Source organism: Homo sapiens, chromosome 5 (assembly GCF_000001405.40).
Source record: "Homo sapiens chromosome 5, GRCh38.p14 Primary Assembly".
Taxonomy (NCBI): Eukaryota; Metazoa; Chordata; class Mammalia; order Primates; family Hominidae; genus Homo; species Homo sapiens.
The window spans coordinates 133,536,330-133,558,419 of NC_000005.10; the positions used below are offsets into that span (position 1 = coordinate 133,536,330).

General features: G+C 40.0%; 1 protein-coding gene across 3 annotated transcripts in view, besides 1 other annotated feature; it reads right to left on the reverse strand.

Moving 5' to 3' along the window:
* The window catches only part of FSTL4 (follistatin like 4), a 645,613-nt gene that overhangs the window by 339,875 nt on the left and 283,648 nt on the right, over positions 1-22,090 (reverse strand). The gene's annotated exons all lie outside the window — the stretch shown is intronic.
* Positions 16,710-16,789: a silencer, noted in NCBI's record as "silent region_16346". NCBI's record gives its function as "represses an Ori minimal core promoter by ATAC-STARR-seq in GM12878 lymphoblastoid cells {active_cell/tissue: GM12878}" and the evidence as "EXISTENCE:reporter gene assay evidence [ECO:0000049][PMID:35858748]".

Consider the following 22,090-nt stretch of genomic DNA (forward strand, 5'->3'; position numbering starts at 1 on the left):
CATTCTATTTTTAGAACTTGCTTTCCTCCTCCCTTAACAGCATATTGTGAACAACTTTCTATTTCAACAAAATATTTGTAAAGGTGTAACATTGTTTTAAATATTTGTTTAGTATGCTATGACATGATTGTATTGTCATTATTTCAGTCAATTACTTTTGGGGGACATTTAAAGGTACTTTATTATTATAATCAATGCCATAATAAATATTTAAAATTTCTTTAAAATTATTTAAAATTAACTTATGAATAGAAGCAAAGTAGTTATAAAGTATATGTGGCATATAAAATAACAATACAGTGATTATCCATGTATAATTTATGTATAATAATTTTACTTGTTTTTGTCATTGCTTCTTTTTGCCAAATATTATGTGCCTGAGACTCATCAATTTTATTACATGTAACTGTAATTCATTCATTTTCACTCTGGGTATAGTATTCCAGATCTATCTCTTTATATTCTATATATTATTATAGGATAATTGCTATATTCTTTATCACTGTAGACTATATCACAATTTAGAATTTATACATTCCTCTGTTGCTAGATCTTAAAATTGTTTATAATTTTAAATTATGAACAGAGGTGCTAGAACTTTCTTGTTCATGTCTCCCAGTGCAAATATGGAAAAGATTCTATGAGAGGTTGCTCCTGGGAGTGGGGTGTCTGGTTCCTAGAGTACGGCATTTTCAGCTGTATTAAATAAAGCCAAACTGTTTCCCAAAAGAGTTGCACAAGCTTCTGCTCTCACCAGCAGTGTCTTGTGCTATTTCTTTAGGGTGGCCATCATTATTTCTGGTCCTTTGGTTTCCACATAAATTATAGAACCTGCTTGTCAAATTACACACACTCATTCATATACTTTCTATAACAAGTTAATACACTGTTCATTTTGGGGGAGAATAAACTCCTTTACAATACTGACCTTCTTATTAATTAATTAGCCCCTTCAACAAAGTTTCATAATTTTTTCTCCATGAGGACCTTACACATTTTAGTTATATTCATTCTTGCTTTATATTTTTGATGCCAGTAGTGGTATCAATTTTAAATTACATTTTCTCTTTGTTACTGTTATACAGATAAGCAATTACATTTTGCATGTTGATTTTGTATTTAACAACCTTATTAAAAGATATTAGTTATCCTAGTAATGTATTCACAGAGCATTTGGCTTTTCTACACAACCATATCATTTGTGAATAATCACAGTTTTGTTTCTCTCTTTCAAATTTTCATATTGTTTATTTCTTTCTCTTGCCTTACTGCACTAGCTAGGACCTCCAGTGCAATATTAAATAGAAGTGAGATAGCAGGTGCTCTCATCCTGCTCATGTTTATTTTGATATCATTTCAAACTCACAGAAAAATAGCAAGAATAGTATAAGGATCTCCTATACTTTATCTCAGATTTAGCATTTTGCCCCATTTGCTTATCATTTCTCTCTCACATATATATATATATACACACACACACACACACACAGAGACACACACATATATAGTGTGTGTGTATCTATATGTACACACATATATATATAAATATATAGGCATACATGTATATATTTATACATATATAAACACAGTACATACATGTATTTTGGGGGGAACCATTTGAGAACAAGCTAAAGCCCCATGTGCCTTTAATCCTAAAGCGTATATTTCCTGAGGTCAACACAGCCTCCTACAGTATAACTGTAGAAATCAGCATTGTTATGATGCTTTTACCTAATCCACAGTCCATATTCAATTTTTGTCAATTATCCCAATAATGTCTTTATATCTATTTTTTTTTTCCTAGTCCAGGTTCGAACCCAGGATCACAGATTGCATTTAGTTGTTATGTCTCTTTAGTCTCATTTTATCTGGAACAGTTCCTCAGCCTTTCTGTCTCTTGACCTTAATATTTTTGAAGGGTACAGGCAAGTTATTTTGTAGAATGTCCCTCAACATGGATTTGTTTGATGTTTCCTCCTAAGATTCAAGTTATAAATTTTTCACAGGAATACCAAAGAATTGACACTTTGTCCTTCTTAGTATATCACATCAAGAGGCATATGATGTTGATTCATCCCAATATTGGTGATGCTAGCTTTAATTGCTTGGTTAAGGTTATATCCACCTTTTGTAATTAAAAAGTAATGTGTGGAGAAACACTTGCAGAATATGTAAATATTCTGTTCCTCATCAAACTTTGACTGTTGGTTTTCCGTATCTGCTGAGACTTTTTTTTTTTAACTCCATCTTTCCTTCTATATTTCTTATCTGGCATTCTACCAGGAAGAGCTTTCCTTTATGTCCATCTACTTATTTATTCATTTATGTATGTAGGGACTCATGCACTCCTATTTTATTCAGTGTGTTATAATTATTTTCCAGTTATGTTTTGTTGTGTAACCATTCAAAAGCCTGGGAGTTTGACACAACACTTATTTTATTATCTTTCATGGTTTCTGTGGGTTGGGAATTTGGGATGGACTCAGCTAAGTGATTCTGGCTCTGGGTCCCTCATGTGGTTAGAGTCAGACAACAGCCAGAGCTGGGAGAGCGGGGGGCTAGCCAGCTGGGGGCTTGTTGAGCGTCTCTCTTTCTCTTCGTGTGGCCTCAGAGCATCTCCACGTGGTCTCTACATGTTGGCTCACTTGGGCTCCTTCACAAGATGGTAACCTCAGGGCACTGTTTATATGGTGGTTCGGGGATCCACCGTGAGCAATCTAGCCGGCAAGGTGATGATTTGTCATTTGTATGACAAAGCTTTAGAAGTCATATAGAATCACATCTGCCACAGTTACAACCTGCCCAGATTCAAGAGGGGAAATAGATCCCATCTCTACATGGAAGAAAGGTCAAATTCATGTTATAAGGATATGCGTGATGAGAGATATTGCTGCTGCCATCTTTGGAAAATCAATCTGCTATGATCCACCCTCTGGCCACAATTCACATCCCTCCCATATGCAATAATCCTCTCTCTAATATCCCCAAATCTATTAGTGCAGCAGCACAAAATCCAGGATCGAAATCAGGTTATCTGTTATCTAAATCAGGTCCAGGTTCAGACAAGACTTCTCATGTGAGGTTCCTAGGATTCAGCTCCTCGCACACCATTCCTCTGAATCTGAAGACCTGTAAACACTCACTCCACAGGCCCATGCATAACAGTGGGGCGGCACAGGACAACTTCTACAGATATTTTCATTTAAAAAGGGAGAAAATGTGAGGCACACATCAGGTGCTGATGCATAGCAGTTCTGCAATTTAGCCAGTACTTGTTTCTAGTCCCTTGATTAGGGCTCCGGTCGACTCCAGGAATAATTCTCCAGGGCTCTTGGCTCCACCCTTTTGAGTCTTTCTTCCTTTCCATACAAAGTAACCCATGTTAAGTAGTTTTCTCAGCCTGCTTCCTTCTTGTAGAAGTTAGGACATTCAGGGACCTCTTCATTTTGCACTGTCTCTATCACTTACAGTTTAAGCTTGTATAATTTTTGAAAAAACAAACTTGCATTCTTTTAGTGTATCAGTTTACAATGTACTCTGTGGTGATTAGTGTGTCATCTTGGCTGGGTCATAGAGCCCAAATATTTCATCAAACATTTTACTGGATGTTTCTGTGAAGGTTTTTTTTTTTTCTTTGATGAGGTAAACATTTTAATAGCGACACTTTGAGTAAAGCAGATTATCTTCCATAGTGTGGGTGAGTCTCATCCAATCAGTTGAAGGCCTTAATAGAACAAAAATGGACCTCCCCCAAGCAAGAAGGAATTCTGCTAGCAGACATGGCCTTTAGATTCAAACTGCAACCCTTCCCTGGGTCTCCAGCCTGCCAGCTTACCCCATCAGATTCTGGATTTGCCAAGCCTCCACAATTGCAAGAGATAATTCCTTAAAATAAACACATTTTTAAACACACACATACACACACACACACACACGCACTCATTCATTCTCTCTCTCTCTCTGTTGATTCTGTTTCTGCAGAGAACCCTAATACATACTTTTTCCAAGAAAAGCCAAACTCACAAATCTCTTCAAGATAAACCCTACCATTTCCTGGGCTCCCTATGGGACAATGCTCTTAAGATGCTAGAAGCCCTGTTGTTCAGCAGCAAGGCACACCTTAAGATCTGTAAAAGTCCTCCTTTTTTTCCTGGATGGAAGAGTCTATGATACCTTGAATATTTCTGAGGTTTTTAACAAAGAACCTTATAGGTACCCCTCATGGATTTTCTTTTTGACCTGAAATCTTTTCTTAATTTGACAACTTTTCACCACCTTTGAGAGGCTGGAAATGGAACAAGTTTGACTTTCAAGCCTGGTGAGTCTTGGCTCCTTTATATTTAACAGTTTGTCCTCCAGCTCACCTCTCCCTCTCATGTTTTAACATAGGCAAAAAAAAAAAAAAAAAAAGAAAGAAAAAAACAAACAAAAAAACTAATCTGGTGGTACTTTCTAAGTTCTGTCTGATAGCCTCTTTAGTGGAATCATCAAGTTTATTTAGCATATTTCCTATCTTACTGCATTACCAGAGGTGACAATATTATTAAACCACCCACTACCCCACATCCAGGGTTCTTCCATCCAACTTCTTGGAACATTTTCCTCCCTTGACTTTAAGTGCCCACTGAGAGCCTCCTCAGGACTCTGCCAGCCCGCTCTCACAGCCCCTGCAAGCTTTCACCAGCAGTCTCAATGCCTCCTGCCACCAAAACCAAAGTCAGGTGTTTTGAGGTTTTGTCATGGTGTCATCTCATATTTTTGTCCCCAATCTATTATGATTACCTATTGCTATGCAAAGAATTGCCACAAAACGTAGTGACTTAAAACAACAACAAGCGTTGCATTATTTCTCGATATTTCTGTAGGTCAGATATCTGGGGAGGGTTCAGCCAGGTGGATTCAGCTCAGAAGCCTCTCACACAGTTGTTGTCAGATGGTAGCTGAAGCTGTTGGGGGCTGATGTGGCATTCTTCTCTTTTCAGGCTGTCTCAGGCTCTTTCCATGTGGTTCTTCCACATGGACTAGTTTGCACAGGGACCTCAGGACAGTTAGACAGTTGACATGGTGGCTTAGGCTCCAGCATGAGTGTTCCAGCCAGCATGGTGGAAGCTACCCTGTCATCTACGATTTGGCCTCGAAGTCCTACAGCATCACTTCCACAAAAGTCCCCAGGTTCAAGACGAGGGGACATAGACCCTGCCTCTCAACAAGAGGAGGGTCAAAGACACATTGTAAGAAGAATATGTGAAATGGAAGATACTGTTGTGGCTAGCTTTGAAACATACAATATGCCACAAATCCATTAACATGTTTTTTTCTTTTTAAAGCTCAAATTGTCCAGATGTGGCCAGCATGAGTCCTTTAAGTTGACTATTGTATCGTTTTGACAAGTCCCCATGATGTTTTGAGCGCTGCTTTATTTTTCTGACACCAAATAACCTTCCAGATTCATTGTATACTTTTTCTGCTCCATTTCCCCACTTCTCAAGGAAGCTTAGTTCCCTTCAGTGGAAAACCTGGCTGCTAGGGGTGTACATTGCTACTGGAGTATCACTGCTTCTGTGCCTTCTCAGCACACAGAGCTAGAGAATGTTACAGACACACACACACACACACACACACTCTTAACTTTAAGCAATACTTAACTGATACTTCCAACTCCCATCTGAAAACAAATGTACCATTCTAGACTTCCCACTTTCCATATCTGTAAAACCCTTTCCTAACAGTGAAAAACCTTGCTCGCATTATATACTAAATACATTTATTATTTGCTACTGGTTTAAAAAAAATGGTGTTTGAAGTTAAAGAAGTTCCCTTCTATTTGGTTCTCCTAGTGTAAGAATTTTTTCTTACACTAATAAATGAATGGATATTAGATTTTTAAAATACTTTTCTTATATCTATTGAGATGATTATATGACTTATCCACTTAAAATTGTTCTGTGGTGAAATACATCAAGAGACTTCTAGTGGCAAACAAATATAGTTTGAGATAAATCCAAATTGTTATGGTTTATCTTTTATTAATAGACTGCTAAATATAGTTTGCTAATTTTTGCTTAGGACTTTTGTATTTATGTACAAACTGGCATTTAAAAAAACATTCTTACCAGGTTTTGGTGTCAAGTTTATGTTATTCTCATCAATATACCCACTTTTTCTGGATTCTGGAGTAGTTCATATGAGATGAAAATTGTTGTTGTTGGAAAATTTGTTAGTACCCACTGGTAAAATATCTGGATCTGACATATTCTTTGTGGGAAGATTTCCAGTTAGAAATCTGATTATATTTCTTGAATGATGCTAAGACTGATTAGGTTTTTTATTTCTACTGAAGTGAGTTTGGACAAATTTTTTTTTCAGGAAATTTGACCAGCAGAGCTTTCAAATATATTGGTGAAATAAGATTCTATTATTGTTTTGATTTCTGCAGCTTTAATTATTACATCTTCTTTTCATTTCTGATATGTGTATTTATTCCCTCCTCCTCCCTCTCTCCTCTTTCCTTTATTACTCTTGACATAGTTTTGTTAGATTTATTGGTTCTTTCAAAAATCAGCCTTTGGCTTTGTTGAACCTTTCTGTTGTACTTTTTTTTTTTCAATTTTATCCATTCCTTTTTATTATTGTTCTTTATTACTTCCTTCCTTCAACTTTATTTGGGTTTACTCTGCTACTCTTTTCCTAACATTGTGAGGTGGAGATGTTTAACTCATCAACTTTGGTCCTGTCTTATTTTTTCTTTTCCTTGCTCTGCCACCAGGCTGGAGTGCAGTGGTGCCATCAGAGCTCACTGCAGCTTCAAACTCCTTGGCTCAAGTGATCCTCCCACCTCAGCCTCCTGAGTAGCTGGGACTTCAGGTGTGTGCTATCATGCCTGGTTAATTTTTTTATCTTTTTGTAGAGACAGGGTCCCACTGTGTTGCTCAGGCTTGTCTCCAACTCCTGGCCTCAAGCAATCATCCCACCTCAGCCTCCCAAAGAGTTGGGATTACAGGCATGAGCCACCATGCCTAGCCTCTTTCTTCTCTTCTAATGGAATTATTTAAGATTATGTAATAGCTCCCATTGTGATCATGAGCTTATCTATTTCTCCTTATAAGTCTGTCAATTTTTACTTTACATGTTAATCTGATCTTACTCGGTAAATACATACTTGGAATAGTTATTATCTTCCTGGTGAATTTAATCTATTATTACTTAGTGGTCCTCTTACTCTCTAGTTATGCTTTATGCCTCTATTATATTGTGTTTCACTTTATTATACCTATACCAGGCTCTTTCTGCTATTTTTCTGGAATATTGTTTTTCATCTTTTATTTTCAGCCTTTATCCTTGTATTTTAGATATGTTTGTTTGTTTGTCAAATAGCTGGGCCTTTTTTTTCTATTCTGATAACTATTATCTTTCAATTGGAACATTTGGTTTGTTTACATTTATTGTAATTACTAATATACTTGAATTTAAAGCTAATATTTTGTATTTTCTATTTTTTCTGCCTTTTCTATTTTTCATTTTCTCCCTTGAATTCTTCCTAGATTTTTTGAATATTTTTCTCACTTCATTTATTGTCTACTACTAAACTTGAAAGTTATGCTTTGTTAGTGGTTTCCTTAGACATTTTTACCCTCTATACTTATCAAAATTAAGTTTATAGGTATCTTTTTTCTTTTTCTCAACTATACAAGGATTTCAGTACAAAAATTTGAAGTTGTCCTTTTTTGACTGATCTGCTATATTTTCACATATTTTCTGCCAAACTTTTAAAGTTATGAGACATTATTATTTCAAGCAATTAATACTTAGATTAACACAAATATTCCCACTTTTAATTAATTAATTAAAATTAAATTAATTCCCAAATATTAACCCAAATATTGCCACTTTCTTTACTCATTATTGCTTCTTATATCTTAGACTTTCCATTCTTCCTGTTGGAAAACATCCATTAAAATTGCCACAAATGAAGGTGTGTTAAAAATCTTTTATTTTTTTTTCAGAAATGTCTCCATTTTAAAATTTTATTCAAAGATATTTGATGGTATAAAGTTCTATACTGAGGAAACATTGGCAACTTATGGTTCTGGCTTCAATAAAATAGCTGTTGTTTGACTTAAAAATCACTGTACAGCTGGACTAGAACAGTAAAACAATTCTTTCTAGGCCCTGGAGGCAGGCATCATGTGCTGCTATTCTTGAAAGAAAGAAAACACACGAGATGAGCACCACACTCACCCCCGTTTTCTTCCTGAGGGTAGTTTTTAATGGGTTCACGGCCCAAACCTTGTCACAGGGAAATGGAGCTCAAGTAGAGAGCAGCAGTCTTACTAGGCAGAAGAAAAAGATGTCAAAGTCTGAGATTTCTGAGACTGGAATTGAGCTCAGGATAAGAGCAACTTACAGAAAAGGAGCCCCAAAAGCCTGAATAGGGTTTCTCTTTGGTCCCGGACTAAATCCTAAGCTGTAGGAACAGCAGCAAGATTTCAGGGGCCTGGAAATATTTGGGGAGCTAAGAGCTCAACAGAGATTTTACAGGTTGTATAGCACTGAGTAGGTGAAATTCTGGCCCAGTCAAAGTATAGAGAGCTTGGTAAATACTCTGAGCTTTTGGGCAGTGGAGACCCAGTGGTATAATAAAGAATTTGACTGGTATTTGTCCCTGGTTTCTGAAAGGGAGAAAATCCTTGGAGTAATAGGAGTATCTTTATTATTTATCACACCTTATATCACACCCTTATATCACACCTGAGTTTACATTAAGAGATGAGATGGCTCAGGACAGGGGCTGGTCACCAGAAATATCAACCATGTGAGTAGAGGGTTAGGTCTTAGAGCTAGCCTGACTTCTGGACAAAAAGAGCTCCCATATATGGTTTGAGAGTGCTCCCCAAGATTCCAGCGTGAGATCTGGTCCCTGGTGTGGCAGTGTTGGGGGTAGAGTCTTTAAGAGGCGATTAGGTCACTAAGAGGGATTCATGCCACTCTCGCAGGACTGGATTAATTCTCGAGGAAGTGAGTGAGTCCTTGCTCTCACAGGACTGAATTAGTTACAAGAGTGTGTTATTATAAAGCAAGGCTTCTCCCTGAGTTTTCCCCTTTTCACACCCACCCACTTCCCTACTATATTATGTCATGATGCAGCATGAAGCCCTCACCAGAAGTCACCCAGATGTGGCTGCCTGATCTTGGACTTCTCAACCTCCAGAATTGTGAGCCAAAACAAACCTCTTTTCTTTATACGTTACCCACTATCAGGTATTTAGTTATAGTAACAGAAAATGGACTAAGAGAAAATTGACACAAAAAGTGGGGCTACTGCTATACAAATACCTGAAAATGTTGAAGCAGCTTTTGGAACTAGACAATGGAACAATTTTGTGAATTGTTCCAAAATTGTTCCAAAAAAGTGAATGCTAGAAAAAGCCTATATTGCCATGAATGGAGGATTTAGGGTAATTCTGGTGAAGGTGCAGAAGAGAAAACTAGGGATAGTCTAGAACTTCTCAGAGATTATCTAAATGGTCATGACCAGAATGTTCACAGATATGTGGACAGTAAAGGCCACTCTGACAAGGTCTCAAATGGAACTGAAGAACAAGGTATTGGAAACTGGAGTAAAGACTATAAAGTTGTAAAGAACTTGGCTACATTGTGTTCATGCCCTAGGGCTCTATGGACTGTAGAACTTAAGAGCAATGAATTAGAATATATGGTAGAAGAAATATCTAAGTGTCAGCAAAGTATTCAGGCTATTATATGGCTACTTTTAACCACTTACATTAAGTAGTGAGAGAGGAAAAAGTGACTTACAGATGAAACTCATAATCAAAAGGGTAGCAAAGTGGAAAGACCTGGAAAATTCTCAGGCTGGCCACATAAAGAGTGAAAAAGTGGCTGGATGCAGTGGTTCATGCCTGTAATCCCAACATTTTGGGAGGCCAAGGTGGGTGGATTACCTCAGGTCAGGAGTTCGAGACCAGCCTGGCCACACGGTGAAACCCCGTCTCTACTAAAAATACAAAAATTAGCCAGGCGTGGTGGCACGTGCCTGTAATCCCAGCTACTTGAGAGGCTGAGGTAGGAGAATTGCTTGAGCCCAGGAGACGGAGGTTGCAGTGAGCTCAGATCATGCCACTGCACTCCAGCCTGGCTGACAGAGCGAGACTTTGTCTCAAAAAAAAAAAAAAAAAAAAAAAAAAGAGTGAAAAAGTGTGTTCAGGAGAGGAAACCAAAGATGTGGTCCAGCAATCTTTTGTTAAGGAGATTAGTATAGACAGAAGGGATAAGCAAGACAATAGAAGACAGATCTTGAAGGTATTTCAGAGAACTTCAAGGCTGCTCCTTGCATCATACACCCACAGGCATAGGAGAGCAGAATGGTTTCAGGAAATGAGCCCAGGGCACCCTCCACAGGCTTGCTTCCCAGGGCCTCCTGAGGTCTCTGTTCCCCACATTCCAGCGTAGCACTCCTCTGCCAACCCAGCCACAGCTTCAGGTATAGCTAGTGCCACTGCTCTAGAAAGTACAAGTTGACCTTTGTGACATTCAAGTGGCATCAATTTTGCAGGCATGAAGAATACAAGAGATATGGGGGCATGGCTTCCTCCCCCCAGATTTCAAAGGATATTGTGAACACCCTGGGGGCCCAGGAAGAGACTTGTCAGAAGGATTGAGCCACTGCAGAGAGCCCCCATTAAGTAATGCCTAGTAGAGCCATGGGAATGGAATCACCATAAAGACTTCAGAACCATGGAGCTACAGCATGCAACACCATTCTGGGAGAGCTGAAGTGTGAGACATGGAGTCAAAGAAGATTATTCTGCAGCCTCAAAACTTAATGTTGTTCCCTGTAGGGCTTTGGACTTACTTGGGGCCTGATACTCCTTTCTTCTTGCCTGTCTGTCTGTCTCTCTCTCTCTCTTAGAAGGGAAATGTCTATCTTATACCTGTCCATTCATTGTATCTTGGAAGTAGATAACTCATTTTGATTCCACAAGCTGCTCATAGGTAAGACTTTGGATTTTTGAGTTTGTGCTGGAACAAGTTAAGACCTTTGGGACTATTAGAATGGAATAATTGTATTTTGCATTGTGAGAAGAACATGAAATTCTGGGGGGCAGGTGTGAAATGCTATGGTTTCAGTGTGTCCCCCAGAATTCATGTGTTAGAAATTTGGTCCCCAGTGTGGTGGTGTTGGGAGATGGGGGCTTTAAGAGGTGATTGGGTTGTTAAGAGGGATTAACACTGCTCTTACAGGACTGGGTTAATTCTTATGAATGTGGGAGTCCTCCCCTTCATGGGACTGGATTAATTACCACAAAAGCGAGTTGCTATAAAGTGAGGCTGTCCTTGCATTTGCCCTTTTGGCAAGCACTCAGCTCACCCCCATGTTATGATGAAGCATGAGACCCTCACCAGAAGATGATCAGATTTGGCAACCTGAGCCTCTGGAATCATGACCCAAAATAAACCTCTTTTTTTAAAAAAATAAATAAATTAACCAGTCTCAGGTATTCCCTTATAGCACCAGAAAATTAACTAAGACAAGAGGGGAAGCTGGATTACATGGCCAATCATTAAAGTTACCCGGCCAATCATTAAAGTGATAATACCTACAAAATAAAATCCCAATAAAAGCCCTGGACACCTAAGCTCAGAAGAGTTTCCTGGTTGGTGAACACACTGATGTGCCAGGAGAACAATGTAGCCTGATTTCATGGGAAGTGGGCATGGAAGCTCTGCATTTAGGACCCTCCCAGACCTTGCTCTATGTATTTCTTCATTTGGCTTCATCTGTGTCATTTACAATAAAATGGTAGTCAAAAATATAGAACTTTTCTGAGTTCTGTGAGTCACTCTATGAATTATCAAACCTAAGGGTGTCATGGAAAGGATTTATGGTCAGTGTTTATAGTCAAGAATTTATAGTCAGTAGGTCAGAAATGCAGGTGACTTGGGGGAACCCTGAACCTATGGTTAGCGTTTGAAGTGAGAGCAGTCTTATAGAGGACTGAGTCCTTAACTTAGGGTGTCTGCTAACTCCAGGGGGTTAGTGGCAGAAATGAATTGCAGCATACTAGTTGATATTCAGACTACACAAAAAGGCTTTGTCCTATGGGTAAGAATCATATCCTAGGAATAAGGCCTATACATTACAACTGAGGGAGAAACCAAAAAAAAATCTCCTAACAAAGTCTAAACATGAACAGCAAAAAATGGTAACCTGTAATCATGAGATAAAATCATCAGTTGAGGTAGACCTAGAGATACTAACACTACTGGCATTAGCAGACAGAGGACTTCAAAATTACTATCATCTGTGTGGCAAAGAAAAGAAAGAGTAGCTCAACGGAGAACTGGAACCCATAAGACAGAATCAAAAGGATCTAGAACTGTAAAATATTATATTGAATTTTAAGAATTCACTGGCTAGAATTAACATAAAAAAACTCTGAAGAAAAGGTTAATGAACTCAAAGGTAGATTGAAGCTTGAAGGGGGAAAAAAGAAGGGAAAAAACAGAAAATAAGAGTAAGAGTGTTGTGGAACATGGTTAATAGGTCTAAAATTCTAGATTGACCAATGTTTTCTCTTAGCATATTAAAGATATTCCAATGCTTTCTGATTTCTACTGGGAAATAAACTATAAGTCTCTCATAAGTAATCTGTTTTTTCTCTCTAGCTACTTTGAGGGTTATCATTTTGTCCTTAGTATTCTGCAAGTTTTTGTTGTAGATAGCCTTACGTTTCTTTTTGTTTATCCTATTTGGGATTTACTGGGCTTCCTGTATCTGAGGATAGCTGTCTTCCTTTAGTTTTGCAAACTTTTTTCAACCATTATCCCTTCCAATATTACTCTTCCTGTTTTCTCTCTTTAACCCCAATTACAAATGACTGAGTCCTCCTTATCCTAGTCTCCTTGCCTCCTAACCTTGATAGCTTTGTCTCCTCCTTGCATTCTGGTTACATTTTCAGATGTATCTTCCAGTTCTCTTCAGTTATGCCCTGTTTGCTCTGAAGTCTATCCTTTGATTTTTAAAATTTCAATTACCTTTTTTAATTTCTAGAAATTCTATTTGGTTATTTTTCAAATAATCAAGATAGTTTCTATAGGTTTATTCTTTGTTTATATTTTCAGCTCCCTTTTTATTGCTTATAACACAGCATGCACAGTTTTTTAAATGTTAATTCTATTATCTGGTCTTCATAGTTCCTTTCTGCTGGCTCTTCTTTTGGTGTTTTGCATCCTTTCATTTTTACAAATTTTAACTGGGAGCTCATATTCCTTGGATGGAAAACTGTCAAAATTATTTGAGGCCAATACTGAAGAAGAGTTCTTTTACATAGGATTTGTGTTTGCTCTACCATGTACCTAGGAACACTATCAACCAGGACTGTTTCAAGCAAAATTCTTGGCTGAGGCTTTCTCAGACTAGTCTGTTATATGAATTCTACTGAAAGCTTAGCTTGTGGTTCCTGTTCTCAGAGGAAACATTTTGGCTCCCACTCAGCATCAAGGTTTAAGGCAGGCAATTTTCTTCACACATCCTTGAGAGAAGACAGGGCATGTTTATTTTTATTTCATCCTTACACTAGAGAGGTAGCCTACTGGGGTCTGTTGGGGTCTCAGCTTTTATGTAGAGGAGGTTTTCTAACAGACTGATCTGCCCTAGGCTTGACTCCTGTCCCCATATCTCTTGAGGTCGTAACAATCAGAGTTCAAGGTCACCTGCATTGGGCAAATACTCTCAAAGCAAAAGTCTGCTTTAGAACCCAACTTTCTCTGAGTTTTTGGCCTCTTATGAATCTTTAGTTCCTGCTTTCTCACTGAGGTATTTAAAGGATTGCTTAAATGTTTTATCCATTATTTAAAATTGTTTTAAGTGGGAGAGTCAGCTAAGTTATCTAGCCTCCCATATAGCCAGAAACAATAAGCTGCATAAATAGTTCTAAAATTTTCATGTTATTAGTATCTACTCTTTCTGAAATGGTGGATAAATGTGATTACTCAGTTTTGAGGAAAGAAAATAAATTGGTCCAGTTAAATCCAAGGCTTTCTAACCCAATGCATTTCAGTAAGTATTCACCAAAGACATCCTAGTCCCCCATACTACAGGCCCACTTAGAATTAGAAGTCACAACCCCAGGCAACCCCAGCCCCAACTGTGGGTGAATAATAGCTAACAATGATGGCTAATATAGAGCCTACTCAGAAGGTGGGCCAGTGCTATGCTAAGCTTTTTAATATGCATTTAATCCATACAACTGCCATAGGAGGTAGATAGAACTATCACCACTATTTTAGATGTGAGAAAACCAAAGCACAGAAGTTTAAATAACTTGTTCAAAGTAATATAACCAGTACATTGGATCATACTCAGAATGTCTGGCTGTATAATTTTGAAAAACTACACTGAATAGTTAGAGAACACAGAAGGAGACAACTCTCAACTCAATGAGATCATATGAGTAATAAGAGTAGGATAAAGTCCCAATGTAATGGTGGCTGGAAATGTTATAGAAAGCCAACTTTTAGGTAGAATGGAGTTTGGCTTCTTTTCACTGTATGAGCGATGATTTTCTTGTCCTTTTATATAGTGTGCCATATTATGTGGTCATTGTACACTTACGATGCCTGCCCCAAGCTGGAAAGACTCATCTTGCTCCTCTCCTCCTTTAGGGAGGGAGGTTAGAGTTTCCATGCAGACCCTGTTAATCCAACTTTCTTACTATTACTTAGAACATGTTTCTAATAAACCTCCTGGGATTCATATAAGTTCTTTCATAGCAGTCAAGCAATTGGGAATGAACCATCCTAAAGACAACGGGCGAGCCACTCAAAGCAACCAACAATACCACCAGCTTTGTTTGCCTGGGTCTTGCCTCTGTTTACGATACTTGGGGGAACAGCAAGTGTGGGAGGGAGGATAAATCACAAGATAGCTTTTATAAAATGACTAATAAAGAAATAATGGGAACCCAATAACGACCAATTACAGAGGCAAGAGAAATAATAAAAATAATAAAGCAGAAAATGTACAAAGCAAACAATTAAGACTATTTTATCAAAACAATACTGCGACTCAGAAAGCATTAATTCTCACTGCACAAGGGCAGTAACTGTTTATCATCTGAATTTTGTACATTAAGAAAATGACACCAAGGGAGTTAATAAGTTCCTCCAAGCTCTAGAACACTTCGGAGCCCGGATTAAAAGTTAGCCATGCTCATGCTCCGCTGAGATGTCATCTCTCATTAAAGTCTAAATCAGCTCAGAGAACACACCACATTTATTATTTTTTATAAAATCGTGTGATTCTGGAGGAGCCAACAGTATCTTTGGGATAAACACACTGATTAAAAACATACTTTTAAAATGTCTCTTTTTCTAACCCAGTGGACCAAATATATAAATTAGAGCTATTCTGGTCTACTGAGTACTGTAAATGTATATTTAGATGTAACAAAATATCAGTTGGAAATATCTTTGGAAAGTAATTACTCTGCAATATACGCGGAATGTCTTAAATGCTTAAAGCAATTGCCTCATTTTAAAGACATAACTTACATAGAGAGGCACAAATATTAATTACCAAGCTTGAACCTTGCTTGTAAATTTACTGCCTAGAGTGAATATTTATAGATTAAGGCACAAATATCAAAAAATAAGATAGAATGATGGAAGATTTAACTGCCTAAAGCAAGGACCCACTTCTAGACACCAGCATCATTAGAGACATTCAAGGAGGGCTGAGGAGGTAAAGGGTTGCTTCAGCCTTTACTCTAATTTTCCCCACCTTCCCTCCTGCCCTCCACTTTCCTCTCTCCCCCATCTCCTTACTGACATCTGACTCTACTGGTCCATAATTAACAAGTTCTATACCTTAGTACAAAACAGGGATTGAAAACTCAAATGTCTATGGAGGCCACACAAGTAATTTAAGGAGCATGGGTCTTCTGGAATTTCTACTTGGTCATATTTATTCTACAGAACTGTATCTAACACACTTAGTCTCGCTATGAGGAATGCACTAGGGAGTGGTGAGGACTGTGGAAAAGCAGGAGAGCATGTATTCCCTTCAGAGACACGGCTGCTCTCACCCAAGCCTGTTGCTGCCATGAGGTCATGTGGGCCCAGGGTTATCAAAGCATTTTGCTTTCCAAGATCATCTGTATATTTGGATATTTGAATCTGTTGGTAAAATGCCCTTATTTTCAAACGATGGCAACTCATTCATATTGAAATATTTTTATGTTTACAAAAAACCTCTGCAGGCCAAGATGGTATAAATCAAAATATGGCTGCAGGCTGAATCTGGCCCACGAGCCACCAGTTTGAGACCTGTCATATGAAACAAATATGGAACAGAAATCGGGCTCAAGGGTCTTAGGAGAAACCTGTCTTACTTTTCTTATGAAGAGGCAGACAGGCTTGGTGAGTTTCCAGGTAGGAGATGATGTGGCTCAACGAAAGTTCAGCTGTTCTTTCAGGACCCAACGTGACTTTGGGGGTATTCATAAAGAAACAGGGGATGAAGCCCTAACAGTGGGTGTTCTAAGAATTAGCAGCAGATAGGAGAGATATATGTGTGCAAGTCTTTTCTGGACACTTGCACATGGTAGAAGAGCCACAGAATTCTCAACTGTAGGGTTCAGGGCAAGCGACCTCTGGGTAAAGTCTCCTGGTCCTGCGGTTCCCTGTGCTCCAACTGCAGCGGCTACTTAGTCTCTTGCCATCAGGTCTCTGGGCCTGGAAAACGTAACTCTCCCTCTGACCTCCAGGGGGCGCGGGAGAGAGGGTGAGTCCCGCGGTACCCGGAACCCACAGTCTGTATCAAGAGGGAGGAAGCCTAGGCTTGTCCAAGACTAATAGCCTGGACCAGCATCTTCCCCTCTTTTCCGAGGCATGGCAGCATCTTCTCAGTGTCTTGTCTCGGACGTTTCTTTTCCATTTCCCTCTGTCCTCCACATGTTCCCCTCCCATCAAGCACAGCTATGGATGCGCCTGCTCTTCCTAAGCTTTTCAAGGACTGTCCATTTAGAAGTGACCTTGCAGACTTGCCTTAGAGCTGAGAGTCCTCAGGACAAGGGTCCTAGCAAAGCTACAGTAGCAAGACACAGGGACATCCCACCACAAAGGAATGAATATTTAGGTACAGTGAGGTCAATAAATAAGTCACCAACTTACTGAAACGCCCAGCAAACCAAATCACAAATCCTTTCAAAGCTGTGTCTTCTCATTTCTAAAACAGAATATCACACTATCTGGCTACATTGGACTATTGTGAGTGTTAAAATAAGTGAACTTAGCATAGCATATGGCATATGGTGGAGGCTTTAATAACAACAGTTGTCATCATGTGCCCCCTCCCATATAATCTCCGATCCCCTAAGGCAGGAAAACAAAACACTTAGAAATAACTTAAACGAAAGTCAAAACATAGAACTTAACTAGAAAACTCAGTTAGCCAGGACCCCCATCACTAGGATATGGCGGCTAAGTCTCTGGGATATGTTGGACACTGTGCCACCCTACAGAGAAGGGAGAACCTGGACTCAGGGGTGGGAGGCAAGGAAAGGAAGCAAGAAAAACAACCCAGAGAGCCCTGAGAACTAAGAGCACTGGCTTAGAGCCCCAAATCCCTCCTCTGCTACTCACTAGCCCCCTGGGACCTCAGGCACGTCACTGTACCTGTTCAAGCCTACCTCATCTATACAAATAAGGGGTGACCCTGTGGGGCCTTTGATCTGGAGTTGGATCATTTGGATGATTCCATGAATGGTAGAGACTAGAAGCAAGCCCGACCTTGCAAGGAGGGAATGGTCACCGCCATGCCCAGCATTCAGGCAGGCTGCTTGGTGGACAGAGTGCAGTCGTGAAGACTGGCTACGCAGCTGACCTTTGGGAAATCCAGACAGAGAGCCTGGGGAGATGGGGGGGAGGTGCCTGGACCACAGTGGTGGGCACATCTAGTGCTCTCTCAAGTCATCTACATGGGCCTCTGCTGCGGGTAGCATGTTTCTCGCTATATTTCAAATGTCTCTGATCCATGACACTCGCGTCCTAATGGATCCTGCTGTCAGCAATGGATGAGCATTGAGCTAATAGATGTCAAACAGCATTTACATTTCTGAAATGGCTTCATCTGCTCCCTCTCCCAGGACTCTCCAAAGTGAAATTTGAAATGTGGACAGACGGGTCAGCTCTGGACAGCTCCACTTCCAGAATTCTCGTGGGCAAGAAACAATTATTTATTTTTTCCTAAACAGACAGACAGTGCTGAGCTTATTCAACAACAACAAGCTGCTTTTCAACCTTGTCTTCTTGGAAAGGCATGCAATTTCCTAAGAGGCACATGGAAATATCTGTCACCTTGTAGTTTAAATAGCATTCATTCATTCATTCAAAGCACACTCACAATGAATTATCTTGTTCATTAGAAATTCTGCAGAAGACCAGTGAGAGGTTTGGATTGGAGAGAGCATGGGGGAGTTTAGCATCTGCGATGCGGTACGAGAATCAAACCGCGCTGCTAGATTCACCCAAGCACCCTCTGCATATTGACGGCAGGGTCAGAATGGTATTCTCAGTCTGGGTTTCAGTAGCAGGGACATCTGTAGCTATCAGAAAATGCTGCAGAATCATCTGTCTAGGGACCATCTGTATTTGGGGGTTATTCCAATGTAGCACCTGACACATGATAATGAATGGATTTTTCTGGCTCTCTCTGGCTCTATTTTAAACTGTCATCATTTTAAACCATGAAATATGTCAAGTGATAATTAAACCTCACCACAGACAGGTACTGTGAAAATGATTAACTTTTACCATTTCCTCCATACACATTTTGAATATTTTGAATACCCCAGGTATGGGATCATTACATTGACAGATGAGAGAAGTCATCTTTACAATAATTTATTTTTAAAAGAACCAAAACAGGACTGAAAATTCTGTGTTTTCCCATTGGGTCTTAATTTGAAAACTTCTGCCATAAACTCTTATTTTCAGAGGAAGCCTTGGTGGGAGTAATACAGAACTGGACGCTATAATCTCCAACTCTGCCTCAATTAGCTGTGTGACCCGGGGCAAGTCCCTTGCCATCTCTGAGTATCAGTCTCCTCCTCTGTCAAATACCAATGACCATATCTTCACTCTTCCCAACTCACAGGCTTTCTTGAGCATATTAAATGAGAGGACAAATGGGAAAGCTCTTTGAGAGCAAAAGGCACACCGGTTACACTATTTGAATGTAAGGTATTATTTTAAATTCCGTATAAAGGGGAAAAAAGTAATATGCCAGCACAGCTTTACAGGCCTACTGTTTTTAAAAAATAAACACACACACACAAAACAGAAACCTCAACTCATTTTATTTTCCGCTGAAGTTTCTGAGCAGGAGATTAGATCTGACCCTATCAAATCAACGTCCCCTCTGAGCCACAGGACTCCCATTTTGTGTCCAAACATGCAGGGGCTCACACAAATGATAAAAATTCAAATGAAGCAGCCAAGCAGCTGGATGGGAATGTTGCTTCCAGCAAAAAGGGAGAGCAAATAACTGCTAAAATTAGTAAAGCGAATAGACTGAAATATATTTTTACCCCCCACAACGCATTGCCCAGACCCGTGGGTTTTTTACAGGCCTATTTCTTCTGAAGTTGGGGTTCTCTACTCCCCTTTGGTAGCAGCAGCAAGACACAGCTCCCCGAGATGGGAGGTTGGGGGAGGTCCCAGGACCTCTGACTCTGCAGGCATGCTGACTGTAGAACAATGAATCCACATTTTTGAATACGAATATTTCAATCAGAATTACACAAACATTATCAGATTCCCACAGAATGTATCTTCCTGAATGACCTCAGTGAAGCCCATTTTAATTCTTTGATCAATTTCCTACAGAGTACAAAAGGTCCTCATTTTTTAAATTTACAAAATAAGATTGCAATGCCTATCTCAGAGGTTGTTTATGAAGATTAAATAAGAAGTTGAATGTGAAAATGTTTCCATTTCCAATCTACAGAATTTATAGTAAAGGACTAAAACTTTTGCCTCTAAATTGTCTTGAATGTGTGGACACATAGGAAATTACTTACTAAAAAGTGGCTCCTGGCGGGGTGCGGTGGCTCATACCTGTAATCCCAACACTTTGGGAGGCTGAGGCAGGTGGATCACCAGAGGTCAGGAGTTCGAGACCAGCCTGGCCAACTTGGTGAAACCCCGTCTCTACCAAAAAATACAAAAATTATCTGGGCGTGGTGGTGCATGCCTGTAATCTCAGTTACTCTGGAGGCTGAGGAAAGAGAATCGCTTGAACCCAGGAGGCAGAGGTTGCAAAAAGTTCAGGGCTCCTGAACAGCAGCCCTGGTTATAGGTGAGGTCCATCCCCCATCCTGTGTTCCTGTCTGCCACCCCATGCCCATTTAGAAGCAGCCAGCCCAGCGAGCCTCCACCAACCCCTTCCCAAGAAAGAGGGTGATCTCTTAGGAAAAGTGGAAAATAAAAGCTTCTGACAAACATCATCAAGGAAAGGACTGAAGCCACTGCCAGGTGAGGGGCTTGCTCATTCACTTTTCTCTCTATTTTGGGTGATTTCATCATTTGATGTTCATTTGCTTTTCATCCTTATGTGCTTTGGCTAAAGTGCTAAAGAAAGGATGTCATGTTTGGGGTAAAACCCCTCTCAAGTTTCGGCTGGTGAATGCTTGATGCACCTCCCCAGGTACCTCCTGCAGCTACCCTAGGGGACAGGGCAAAAGAACAAGGTGAAAGAACCCAATCGCTGGAGGCAGCTGTGATTTGAAACAACAAAAAAGTGCCCTTTATTTGTCATCAGGGACTTGAGTTCAAACTCACACTCTGTTAGAAGCTTCTGTGACCTTGGGTCAACTGCTTAATCTCTTAGCCTTGGATTCCTTCTGAAGACAGAAGAGAGCACCTCCCCCCTGAAACGCTAGGTGAATGTTTGCTGATTCTTAGCCTGCTTTTCAGGCACTCAGAATCCTTTTAGGGGTGGAGAGTGAGAGACACCCAGATGTGAAATCATTAAGTAGACGTTAATATGCTTAGAGAATTTCCTTTTACCTTCCTGCTTCTGTGTCCCTTATTCAGACCCAATTGCCATTTGGGGATCCACCTTCCTCCCACTCTCACTTCATGATATCCTGACCAGCGGTATGGCTGGTGACTTCAGGAAACCCAACAGCACACAGCATTAATTAAGTGCATGAATCACATGACCTGAGTCTGTCCAATCCCAGTGAGCTTTAGCACTTTTGTGGGATACACTGGACTAGAGGCCATCTGTCTTCCACTGGACCTGGAGCTGTGAGGAGGGGAGGCTGGCACTCACCATGAAGGGGAACCCCCAGAGAGGGGCAAAATGGAGGGAGAAGCCAGGTCCTTACACTCCATATCAAGTATATCTGAAGCCCAGCACTCCTCACCTTCCACCCTCACTGGACTATCCAATTACATAAGCCATAAGTCCTCTTTTTGTTTGAGCTAGTTGGGTTGGGGTTTGTTATTTGCAACAAAAACGTCACCACTGGTACAGTGTGCCCTTAAAAGTCAAAGGGGACCCTCTGCTGAGACAGCCATGCTTTGGAAAAAAGATCCTGAAACTTCACCTCCACCAGAACATTCAGAGAGTTGTTCTCCCAGATTCCAACATCAATTACACTGAACAAATGCTCTCTCTATGTTGCGGACCCAACTGAGAGGTGGCTGGCCATGGTGCAGGTACACCAGGTAGACATCTGTCTGCAGGACGCTTGGGCATCTTCTCAACTGACTCATCTATAAGGGCAGGGACTATGCCGGGTCATCTCTGCACACCAAACTCCAATCAGCCCAAGGAAACTTCTATAAGCAACCAATAAAACCTCAACAAACTCTGAGAATCGTATTCACCTTTCCAGAGGAGTCATTTCTCCAATGCAAGTAGTAGTTATCAAACTAGAGTCCCAGATATTGTTTTTGAGGCACTGATGAGGTGAGAGAGCCATTGAGGGGCAGAGAATGGAGCTGAGAAGCTGGAGCCCCGAAGAACAGGGTAGGGGCAATCACTGGCTTGCAGTACATGGGA